The following is a 12761-nucleotide window of genomic DNA, read 5'->3' on the forward strand; positions in this document are numbered from 1 at the left end:
GATCTCTTGGCAGGACAACAACTGGGTTTTTGATGACTTTGGGCTAGGTCTTGTTCATGACCCAAATATTCATCAGGAGCATACTATACCAGGTGCTGGGTGTGTGATGATAAACAAATTAGGTCCCTTCCTTGTTCACAGCCTAAGAGGGCACATGGTTTCATATATAAATATAAGATAGTATACTAAGGATTACATAATGGGATGAGTGGCATATAGTGGGAGCATAGGGAAAATTGAGACTTCTGCTTCCAAGTGAAAGGAAGTCACAAATATCAACACTTTGTCAGTCTTATTTCAGTAACCCTACATTGCTTTTTTTGTGTGTGGTCTTGGGGAGTGACTAGGAGTTGTCCAGGTGGAATAAAAGGACATTCTAGGTAGAATTCTCTCTCATTCTAGAAAGAGAGAGATCTGTGTATGTAAAGTGGACAGAATCTGACAAATTTTTAGAGAAAAGTTTATACCAAATGGGTAACCCATGGCCTTTTTTTTTCTTTTTTTTTGAGGCAGAGTCTCGCTCTGTCACCCAGGCTGGAGTGCAGTGGTACGATCTTGGCTCACTGCAACCTCCACCCTCCCAGCTCAAGTGATCTTCCCATCAGCTTCCTGAGTAGCTGGGACCACAGGCACATACAACCACGCCTGGGTACTTTTTTGTATTTTTGGAAGAGACAGGATCTCGCCATTCTGCCCAGGCTGTTCTCAAACTCCTGAGCTCAAGCAATCCTCCCACCTTGGCTTCCCAAAGTGCTGGAATTACAGGCATGTGCCATGGCCCCTGGCCACCCATGGCTTTTAAAAGTCATTATAGAAATTGTCAAAAATAAGGCCAAGTGCAGTGGCTCACGCCTGTAATCCCAGCACTTTGTGAGGCCGAGGTGGGTGGATCACCTGAGGTCAGGAGTTTGAGACCAGCCTGACCAACATGGTGAAACTCCATCTCTACTAAAAATACAAAAAATTAACTGGGTATTATGGCACATGCCTGTAGTCCCAGCTACTCGAGAGGCTGAGGCAGGAGAATCACTTGAACCCAGGAGGTGGAAGTTGCAATGAGCCAAGATCGTGCCACTGCACTCCAGCCTGGGTGACAGAGTAAGACTCCATCTCAAAAAAAAAAAAAAAATTGTCAAAAATATACAAGTAATGAGGCATATAACAAACCATCATGTATCTACCAACCAGCTTCACAAATATTAACACTTTGTCAGTCGTGTTTCAGTAACCCTACATTGCTTTTTTGTGGTTGGAGCAGTTTATTTATTTTTTATTGTATATATTTAAGGTCTACAACATGATGTTTTTGTATATAGTCATGTGCCACAACATGGCATGTGTATGCAATGGCAGTCCCGTAAGATTATAATAGGAACTGGAAAATCCCTATTGCCTAGTGACATGGTAGCCATTATAATGTTATAGTGCAGTTACCTTATTTTTAAAATAAATTTAGTGTAGCCTAAGTGTACAGTGTTCATAAAGTCTACAGTATTGTACGGTAATGTCCCAGGCCTTTACAGTCACTCACTGACCCACCCAGAGCAACTTGCAGTCCTGCAAACTCCATTTGTGGTAGGTACTCTATGCCGCACTGTTTAAAAAATCCTATAGGCATGGGCGCAGTGGCTCATGCCTATAATCCCAGCACTTTGGGAGGCTGAGGCAGGCGGATCACTTGAGATCAGGAGTTCAACACCAGCCTGGCCAATATGGTGAAACCCCGTCTCTACTAAAAATATAAAAATTAGCTGGGCATGGTGGCATGTGTCTGTAACCCCAGCTACTCAGGAGGCTGAGGCAGGAGAATCGCTTGAATCCGGGAGGCAGAGGCTGTAGTGATCCAAGATTGCACCACTGCACTCCAGCCTGGGTGACAGAACAAGACTTCATCTCAAAAAAAAAAAAAAATCTTTTAGATCATATTTAGATTATATTTTTACTGTGCCTTTTCTATGTTTAGATATGTTTAGATAACACAAATACTTCCCATTGTGCTACATTTGCCTACAATATTCAGGACAGTAACATGCTGTTCTGGTTTGTAGCCTAGGAGCAATAGGCTCTAGCATATAGCCCAGGCTTGTGGATTTGTGTAAGTACACTCTGTTACATTCGCACAGCAATGCTGATGCTGAATCCCCCACCTTCCATCCTCTATCCCCATCATTAAGCCACCTATGACTGTACTTATTGATACACATATGCATAGTGAAGTGATAACTATGGTCAAGAAAATTAACATTCCCATTATCTCATATAGTTAACTTCCTTTCTTGCTTTCTTTTTCTTTCTTTCTCTTTCTCTTTTTCTTTCTTTCTTTCTTTTTCTTTCTTTTCTTTCTTTCTTTCTTTCTTTCTTTCTTTCTTTCTTTCTTTCTTTCTTTTCTCCTTCCTTCTCCTTCCTTCCTTTTTTCCTTTTCTTTTCTTTTCTTTCTTTTCTTGTGGTAAGTGTACCTAAAACCTACTCTCTTAACAAAGTACCACTAAGCAATACAATGTTGTTAACTATAGCCTTCATACCATACATTAGATCTCTAGACTTACTCATTCTGCGTAACTGCAACCTTGGAACCTTTGACCTATATTTTATCCCCAGCAATTTAAAGCAAATCCCAGACACTATGTAATTCCCTTTGTAAATAGTATGTATCTGTTACTCAGTAAAGATCCCCGATGACATTAACACAAAACAAAATGAGGATAATTCCCTAATACTTGTCAATACCTAGTCCATACATAGATTTTTCCTGTTAACACAGGTTTCAGTATCTAAGGGATTCCTTTTTTTTAGCACAGTAAGTTTTTCAGGGATGTTGGATACATGGGGCTTTACTATAATACCATATTTTTATTTATTTCTTTGAAATGGTATACAATTTATCTGGTCTTATTTCTGATCATTTAACTAATCAGGTTGGCCCCAATGGATGGCTGTGCCTTAAAACTTTCTTGATTGCTTGTTTGTCATATAGGAAGGCCTTTTCAGGGATTCAGTGAACATTCAAATTCTGAGAGCTAGATTATAAATGGCTTAGGGAACTCCGACCAATTCCTTTGATTTTGCTTCAGTGTTTTTTGCTATTTTTATTTTTTGTAGAGACAGGGTCTCACTCTATCGCCCAGGCTGGAGTGCAGTGGCATGATCATAGCTCACTGAAGCCTCCAGTCCTGGGCTCAAGCGATCATCTTGCCTCAGCTTCCCAATGGCTAGGACTACAGGGGTACCCACAATTCCTGGCTAATTTTTAAATTTTTTGTAGAGATAGGGTGTTGCTGTTGTTGCCCAGCATGGTCTTGAACACCTGGCCTCAAGCAGTCCTCCTGTCTTGGCTTCCCAAAGTGCTGGGATTACAGATGTGAGCCACTGTGTCTGGCCTTGCTTCAGTTTTTAGCTTCTAGTGTTTAGTTCATGTCCTCCTCAGCCTTTAAAAGCTGTTGCCTAGCATGCCTTCTTGGCGTGGACCAGCTCAGTGTCCTTACTCAGATGCTTGTAGCAGTCCCTGCAGCCTCAGCTGATCCTTCAGGGTTGGGCCTATGTTGCCCTTTTTTTTGAGGCTTTCCTCGATGACCTCAGCTTCTTTGGCTTCCTGTTCCTCTCAATTTCTCCTACCCTGCACTCTAGCCTTTAATTATGTGCTGTTTTCCATTGCTATAACTGAATACCTGAGACTCAGCAATTTATAAAGAAAATTTATTTCTTACAGTTTTGGAGACTATGAAGTCCAGTGTCTTGAGGCTGCATCTGGGAGGGCCTTCTTGCTGGTAGGGACTCTCTATAGAGTCCTAAGGTGGCTCAGAGTATCCTGAGCCTGGTACATGCTGCTAGTCCTTGCTGCTTGTACCTTCTGGAGTGCTGGGTTGAGCTGCACTTGGGGTCGCTTGAGCCACAGCTGGGGTGGCTGAGGAGTGCTGCACTGGGATGCAGAAAGCAGAGACCCAAGGGGGCCCTGGGCAGCAACCCCATGAAGGGTGCCTGGGTCCTTCTGAAACCATTCCGCCCTTCTAGAGCTCTGGGCCAGGGATGGGAGGGACAGCCTCAAAGATCTCTGAAATGGCAGGGGTCTTTTTCCTATTCTCTTGATAATTTCATCTATCAATAGTAATCTCCTTAACAAATGATCACCTACCCACAGCCTTGGTTTCCTCTCCTGAACACACTTTTTCACTCATTTTTTTTTTTTAAACATGGAATGCTTCATGAATTTGCGTGTTATCCTTGTGCAGGGACCATGCTAATCTTCTCTGTATCAGTCCAGTTTTAGTATATGTGCTGCTGAGGGAAGCGTCTTTTTCACTCTTTATGTGGCCAGGCTGCAGAGTTTTGAAGTCTTCCCATTCTGTTTTCCTTTTAATTATACATTTTGTCTTTAAGTCATTTCTTTGCTCTCATATATCACTGAATGTGGTCAAAAGTAACCATGCAATATCCTGAATGCTTTGCTGCTTAAATATTTCTTCTGCCAGATATTTTAGTTTATTGCCCTCAAGCTCTGCATTTCACAAAGACCTAGGACATGGACACAATTTAGCCAAGCTTGTTGCTACTTTGTGACAAGGATGGCCTTTACTCTAGTTTCCAGTACTTTGTTCCTCATTTCCGTCTGAGACCTTGTCGGAATGGCCTTTACTGTTCAAATTTCTACCAACATTTTGGCCACCACCACTTAAGCAAATCTTGAAGAAGATTCAGACTTTTCCCTAGCTCTCGTCTTCTGAACCCTCATCAGAATCTCCCCTAATGCTCCACTTATAGCAATTACAGGCTTTTTCTAGCTTGCTCCCTCAAACCCTTCCAGCCTCTACTCATTGCCCAGTTTCAAAGCCACTTCCACATTTTCAGCTATCTGTTATAGCAATGACCCCATTCTTGGTACCAATTTTCAGTCTTAGTCCGTCTCTTGCTATAACTGAATGCCACCTTCTGCATAATTTATAAAAAAGGGAAAATTATTTCTCACAGTTCTGGAGGCTGTGAAGTCCAGGAGCATGGTGCTGGCATCTGCTTAGCTTCAAATGAGGGTCTTCTTCCTGCTTCATAACGTGGTAGAAGGTATCACGCAGCGAGAGGGCAAGAGCGTGCATGTCAGTTCAAGTCTCTCCTCTTTTTTCAAGCCGCCAGTACTATCATGGGAGCCCCATCCCGATGACCTCATCTCATCCTTATTTCCTCCCAAAGGCCTCACCTCCACTCCACATATGAATTTGGGGATTACGTTGCCAACACATGAAAGTTGGGGGACACATTCAAACCATAGTATATGCTAATTGCTTTTTTTTTCTTGATACGGAGTCTCACTCTTGTTGCCTAGGCTGGAGTGCAATGGTGCAATCTCACCTCACTGCAACCTCTATCTCCTAGATTCCAGGGATTCTCCTGCCTTAGCATCCCAAGTAGCTGGGATTATAGGCACACACCACCACACTTGGCTAATTTTTGTGTTTTTAGTAGAGACGGGGTTTCACCATGTTGGCCAAGCTGGTCTCGAACTTCTGACCTCAAGTGATTTGCCCGCCTTGGCCTCCCAAAGTGCTGGGATTACAGGTGTGAGCCATCATGTCGGGCCTATTCTTTACTGTTTATACTTCTCTTGTGTGTAGACAAAATGAAACAGTAGAAAGGACAAGAACTTTGAAGCTAATGTAATCTGAATCCTTGAGTTTGTATCCTCATATTTTAAAAAATTGTGGTTACAAAACAAAACACATGAGATCTAACTCCTAACAAAATTTTAAGTGTACAGTGTTGTTAACTTATAAACACAATGTTATACAGCTGATTTCTAGAAGTATTTCATCCTCTGTGACTGAAACTTTATATTCTTTCAACAATTCTCCATTTTCCTCTCTCCCCAAGCTCCTGGCATTCACCATTCTGCTCTGCTTCTATGAGTTTGATTATTAATTAATTAATTATGATTATTATTGTTGAGATAGGGTCTCTCACTCTGTTGCCCAGTCTAGATGCAGTGGCTTGAGTGTAGCTCACTGTAAGTTCAAACTCCTGTGCTCAAGTGATCCTCTCAAGCAGCTGAGACTATAGGCATGTGCTGCTATACACAGCTAATTTGTAGATTTTTTTATAGAGATGAGGATCTTGCTATGTTGCCCAGGCTGGTCTTGAACTCATGGCCTCAAGTGGTCCTCCCAAGTCAGACTCCCAAAGTGTTGGGATTACAGGTGTGAGCCACAGTGCCTAGCAGAGTTTGACTACTTTATATACCTCATAAGAGTGGAATCGTGTGCTGTTTATCCTTCTGTGACTGTTTTATTTCTCTTGTGTGATGTCTTCAAGTTTCATTCATGTGGTAGCATGTATCAGGATTTCCTTTTTTTATGGCGGAATGATCCATTATGTGTATATATCACATTTTGTTTATCCATTTATCTGTTAGTGAATATTTAGGATGCTTCTACACTTTGGTTATTGTGAATAATGCTGCAATGAACATGGGAGTGAAAATAGCTCTTTGGGATCCTGACTTCAGTTCTTTTGGATAAATACCCAGAAATGAGATTGTTGGATCGTATGCCTCACTTTTTAAGTAAAGGTTTGTAATATGGAACATGTGCATTGTTCCATGTAATGCATGGCATACAGAGTGGGTTCTTTCCTGTCTAGGCACCCTCTTTTGAAACCAAGTGTCCATATAGTTTGAGTATTTTCACTGTGGTTTATCATAAGTACTTAGTATTTCTTGCTTAACTAATGCCTTATAATTATTTTTTAGAGACAGTCTTGCTCTGTCAACCAGGCTGGAGTGCAGTGGCACAATCATAGTTCACTATAATCTTGGACTCCTGGGCTCAAGCAGTCCTCCCACGTCAGTCTCCTGAGTAGCTAAGACTATAGGTGCTTGCCACCACACCCAGTTAATTTTAAAAATTTTGTGTAGAGGTGAGGTCTGTGTTGCCCAGGCTAGTTTTGAACTCCTAGTCTCAAGTGATCCTCCTGCCTCAGCTTCCCAAGTAGCTAGGTCTACACGTATGTGCCACCATGCCTGTATTTTTAACATAGCGATATGGGGTCTTGCCATCTTGTCCAGGCTGGTCTTGAACTCCTGTTCTCAAGCAGTCCTCCTGCTTTGACCTCCCAAAGTGCTGGGATTATAGGTGTGAGCCACTGTACCCAGCCTCTACTATTTTTGATCATGTCTTCAATAACACTGAGAATTATTTTGGAGAGAAGTCAACATTTCCCCACAAAAACCCTTTTATTCACTGGTCACTCACAGCAGCTGTGTCATTGAGAAGTGTTGACACTGCTTTTGGTTTTTAAGTGACTGTGTGTTATTCCTTCCCGGGGTGAAAAAAAAAATTGCAAGGTTGGAATTTTCTGGATTGTTAACAAGATCAAAAAGCAAAGATATAAAGCCAAGGGGGGAATGTCTTTCTACGGAATGGTGGTAGAAAGCAAAAAATGCTAGAATTTTGTAGAAATTACTAGGTATTACAAAAATAATCTTTGACCAGAAAATGAAGGTTGCTGTTTTTTATGTTATTCTAAAGTGTAGTACACTTTAACCAGCTAGGGTTTTTGTCTGGATCTTTAAAGTATATTGATAAAAATGCACATACACATTTATTTTTCTTTTAGAAGATGACTTGATTTCCTAGGACAGAAGTTATTTCATAGTTGTAATTTCAATAATCATGGATGTTAGCTTTGAAGTGGTTGATAAGAAGCTCTCTGATTCTCCTCTATTCAGAGAAGACACAGTTGTAGCCATTTCTCTGATTTTCCTCAGTTTTCGCCTTAGAACTAGTAAAAGAGGATTCAGTGGCTTCAGCATACTCAAAGCCAACATAGGGGTGTTGAATTCTCCAGGAAAAGAGAGATCCTGTTTTCTCAGTTTGTTGTTGGGGTTTTGTTTTTGACATTTTTTGACAGCTAAGATCAAGATCTCATGACTTGTGTTCTGGCCAGAGGACCCTCAGCTTTTTGTGATGAGTCATTTCCTAATGCATCCGGAGGCACTGGGCTTGGAACCCCCATCTCAGAGTTGGGGGCAGCAGATCCAGCCACTGCAGCTGGGAGGGAGTCCAGGTGTCAGGAGGAAGGGGCTGAGGTCTTCAGGGCTGGTGGCTCAGGGTATATGAGTAGCCTGACACAGGCACCCATGTCCCCAGACCTTCTCTGGCCATATGGAGTCAGAGTGACCTCCAGTCCCCTGGAAGATTGCCAAGAGCAAGGCAGCTCCTCAGCCCCTGAGGAGTTAGCAGCAGATTATCCAGAGAGGGTCTCAGGCTCCTTATCAGAACTGAGCTAGAGGGTGATTTAGGCCTGTGGAATGCAGGAGCAAGAAAGCCAAGTTACTGGATACAAGGTCAGGGCCTGCCTGTTAAGCAGCAAGAGCAACTTAGCCAGAGCTATTTAAATCTCTATCTTAGAAATTCCCGCTGGGTTGAGCCAGCAAGGGGAGTGTGGGGGCAAGGGTTAAGAGGCTTCAGCTGTGGGGAAGGAAGGGCCATGGACACTGAAAACAACAGGCCAGGCCTGGATGTCCTGACAGCCTAGACCTAAATAGAGAGGTTTTTAGTGTCCTGGTAGGTCATTTCAGCCTGCTTGCAAGTGAATGGGTCTTAGGGTGTAAGGTACATATTCAATCATGAGCTTGAAAACTGAGAATTACTTATGTGAATCTGGAAGTGGATGTAGTTTTAAATTCAATTTAGACAAAACAAATTCCTCAATTTTTCCCAAGTGTAAATTATAACCCTATATTACAGAACTGTCAGTTAAATTCATGAAAGTACTCTTTACCAAGCCTGAAGCAAATTGGTGCTTTTGAGTGCTATTACTTATCGAGAAATAAATATATAAATCAGAAAGCTGAGCTTTGGAAAAAAGAAATAAATATGAAGTCACCCAATAATCCATTCTGAGTAGATGAATGATTAAAGATATGTGAGGTGAGGTTGCTTTAGAGCAAGGGAAAACTCACCCTAGCCTCTGTGGTTCACATGGGCATGCATAACAGTACAGAATTTATTCCTTGGCTCTGTATGTCATACAGATTAGATTCCAAAGTCAACTGAAGCTTGCCTTATTGATCACAGAATCCTAACATTTAAACCAATTTTATCATCTTTAAGAAAGTTGAAAACTTAATACCTTTAGAGACTACAGAAACGCTTAGGCTGTTTAAAAACACTCTCATTCAAATACCTTCTTCCCTAAGGTCATATGGCCCTGGGGTATCTGGGGCAGATTGAACTGGCAAAGATTCAGAAGGCTTCATTGGTGACTTAGGAGGAGATAGGGGGCGTGTCATTAATACAAAGGCATAGTCCATCTGCTCAAAGAAGTTTATAATCTGGTGAGGAGCTTTACTCACAGATACCGTAAGAAAAGATGGATGAGAATAATGAATGGGAGAGTACTCAGATGGAATATTCCAGATCAGAATGGCAGTGCTTTTGAGAAAGCCTGTCCTGGTTTCCGTTGGTGTTAGAGACCACACAGAGACAGCACATTGCAGTTGGATACAGTCCCCATTCCTATTTTTGAGGACATTTGGATCTTGTGGACTGAGGTTAGCCATGTGGATATCTCTCCTGGATATAGTGGCAGAGACACACTGTGAGCAAAGTAACCTTTTCTTGGTGCCCAGGGTCACCTTTCAGAGCCAAGAATTGTGCTGCTTTAAAATGCTTTTTTTTTGGCGTCCTTGCATGCATTTGGGGATTGAAAGGCTGTTAAAATATAACAGCCTGTAATCTACTGTTTCGAATTTTACAGATTCTCTCCTGTCAGTCGCAGCTTCTCAGGGCTGTCATTGTGCCCAGATCTAACACTGTCCCTCCATTCTCTTAACTTACAACAGTCTGGGAAACCACATATTCTCTCCTGTTAGAATTGAATCTGAAAGACAGTGGGAGGGCTCTGAGGGAGAGCCTGTGAAGAGGTGTTGGGGGTTGGTGTGGGGGTTAGGAGTTCCCTTCTGCATTGTGCATGAACTGAGCCCCAGATTTTGGCAGCTTTGAAGACTTATTTGCATCTTGGTTCTTGGTGTTTTCTGGATAAGTTGAGGTTGCAGCATATGACTTCTGTCTTTGATAGGCCTCCCCCTTTTTTCCTCCTACTCTTGCCTGAATCAATTTTGTTATGGAAAGAGTGAAAGTTTTCTCAGGGAAAATGAGAAGAAGCTCAACGGAGGAAGACCCAGGGCTGAGCAAGCCTTGGCCGGTCCGTCAGCCACTGTTTGTACAGCCTAAATATACTGAGCCCTGCAAAAGGTTCAGTGGGATGTCATGGAGCCTGCCATCAAGAAGCCTAGTCTGTGGTTGGGAGAGAGAACAAACAGACCTGAAACTCCCGATTAAAAGCAGTGGTTTTGCATCTTGTGTGAGTTCAGAGAAGAGTGATTTAAGTCAGGGGCTTGGTGTCGGGAGGGTGGGATCCAAGTGGGATTCAAGTAAGTGGCCATGGATGAATTTGTGAATCACCAGTTAGGAAGTGGCAGAGGTTAGGGACAGATGTAGCAGCACAACTGAGGAACTCATTTCAAAGGAAGAATCGTAAATGTATGACCGGTTCACAGACTGTTGAGTTGTGTGGCTGATGAAAATGCAGTCTCTTGGGCTCCAGGTGTGATTGCCCATGGGCTGCGGGAGAGGGGAAGTGCCCAGGAGCAGCCCAGGTTGCTCTAGTACAGATGGGATACACTTTGGGAAACATTGGTAAAGGATGGGTAAGGCAAAGCAGATGAATTTCCTTCCCATGAGAGACAGAAATTGGGGAAGCCATCCAGACTCAACAGCCTGGTGGTTGTCCCTCTATTACAGAAGAGCAGGTAGCAAGCAGGTATTCCTAAGAATGACGGGACATGGGAGTGACAATAGGGTTAGCACCTCAGATGGAGCCGGTGTTCCCGCAGGCTTCACCCCAGGTTCTTTCTTATCCAGCCTCTGTCACATCTGAAAACATCATGATGCTCATGAAATCAAGGTCACATTCAACCTGCATGTGCGCCAGCTGGTTTTATACCAAGGAAAGCTCTGTTCTTCAGGCACTGTGGCTCTTAGTAGTTATCCTTGAATGCGTTGTGCTTTGTCAAACTTGGTGAGCAAGAAAATATGGATCCTCAGTAAAAAACAAAAACAAAAACAAAAACCCTATCAGGACTATTAGAAGAACAGGTGAAATCATAGTGGCAAATACAGTGGTGCAGTAAATTCCTCACATCTGAAAACCATCATATCACTTCTCATATAGTTAACACTTAATGGAAATATTCTTTACAGATGAGCTTTGAATTGCTGCCTCTTGGCCCTGCCTCTACCTGCCAAAGCAGCCGGACTCAATGCAGATGCCATGCAGGGCTCACTTAGTGAATGGCCTAATCTGTCCCTCCTCCTGCCTTCTCCCTTGGGCCACACCTTGCACCCACTCCAGCGATCATCACCTACAAATCGTTATTCACTCCAACTTTCTTCAGCTCTCTTCCCTGGTCCATTTGCTTTTCCCTCTCTCCCCTGTTTTTGAGGCATAAATATTTCCCACCTGACCCCATCAGGAGGACAAAAGAAACAGCTGGGAGTTGGTCAGGTGTAGTGACTCTCAATCCTGGCTACACATTAAAATCAACTGGTCGGGTTTGAAAAGCGCCAGTGGGCCCTATTCCCAGAGATCCCGTTTCACTTTTTCTAGGCCTCAGAATTTTTAAAGCTACCTAGGAGATTCTCATGGGCCATGGGATGGAAAACCACCTCAGGGCGGTTGATAGTGTAACAGTACTAGCAGGACACCTGTCTCATGGAAATGGAAGCTGAAAGATTTGGGATGGAAATTGGTATGTTTTAATGCCTTTTGCTACTCAAGCCCCAAATGTAGGACAGATCCCCATGAAGTTCTCCTCCTCCCATCTTCCTCTGTTATGTAAGCTTGCTTTCTATTAAATAGCAGCATTCAACATGAAAGAAGAGCTTTCTTTTATTTGCTTTAGGATTTCTGTGGTATTGTTTCCACTGTGCTGTGGTTGAGTGTGACTTGAACGTCCTCACGAACTCACCGACGCTGGCTTTGCCTGAGTGGTCTTTGTCACGTTGTTTAGCCTCTCTGGGCCTCACATTGTAGTCAAAGCAGTGTTCAATGCTGCAGAACCCTTTACAGCTGGAGGATTTGGACCGTCACATGGAATCGATGGAGACATGCTTTGGTCCATGAACACATACAGTAGCCTTTGTCTTGTGGTCTGAGGAGGCCCAGTGCTAGGCTTTAGAAGGGTACTTGGGAGAAAAAAAATTTTTTTGATGAATACTTCTATTGGATAAACAAATTTGAAGTGTGTCTGTTCATCCTTGCAAGAAAGTGATGACCACGAGGTAAACTGTAATAATTCTCTATGAAGTTTTTTTTTGAAGGAGTCAGTGGGAAATTAGATCTGAAAAGAAAAAGCTATTGATGGGCATTTGAAATTCTCATTCAGCTAGTCTCTAACCTCCTGTGTTTTAGGTTTCAGAAAAATTCCCACAATAAGTATATTTTGTCATCTTTTACATGAGAATATTTTGTGGTGTAATGCTCATTTTTTCAAAACTATCATGGGCCCAAATGCTGGGTTGTGCATTGAAAAAGGCCTTTGAACACAGGAATGCCAAAACAGTAAAAGTTCATAATTTTTTTGCTAATCTAAAATTTATTCTGAAGAACAACAACAAAAATCTCAAGGCATAGTTTCTTTTCTGCGTCTGATAGGTGATCTCGCTGTAGTTATAAGTAACCTCTCAAACACCACTCAGTTTCTCTGGTCTCATTGA

The 12761-nt window shown here is 42.5% G+C and overlaps 1 protein-coding gene and 1 pseudogene across 37 annotated transcripts in view, besides 1 other annotated feature; one reads left to right on the top strand and one right to left on the bottom strand.

Moving 5' to 3' along the window:
- The window catches only part of TANC1 (tetratricopeptide repeat, ankyrin repeat and coiled-coil containing 1), a 264020-nt gene that overhangs the window by 54215 nt on the left and 197044 nt on the right, over window positions 1-12761 (top strand). The gene's annotated exons all lie outside the window — the stretch shown is intronic.
- On the bottom strand, window positions 4182-4288 carry RNU6-580P (RNA, U6 small nuclear 580, pseudogene; annotated as a pseudogene).
- Window positions 6622-9646: an enhancer, noted in NCBI's record as "VISTA enhancer hs2027". NCBI's record gives its function as "enhancer in: heart[11/11]" and the evidence as "EXISTENCE:transgenic organism evidence [ECO:0001131][PMID:17130149]".

The sequence above is a fragment of the Homo sapiens genome, chromosome 2 (genome assembly GCF_000001405.40).
Source record: "Homo sapiens chromosome 2, GRCh38.p14 Primary Assembly".
NCBI lineage: Eukaryota > Metazoa > Chordata > Mammalia > Primates > Hominidae > Homo > Homo sapiens.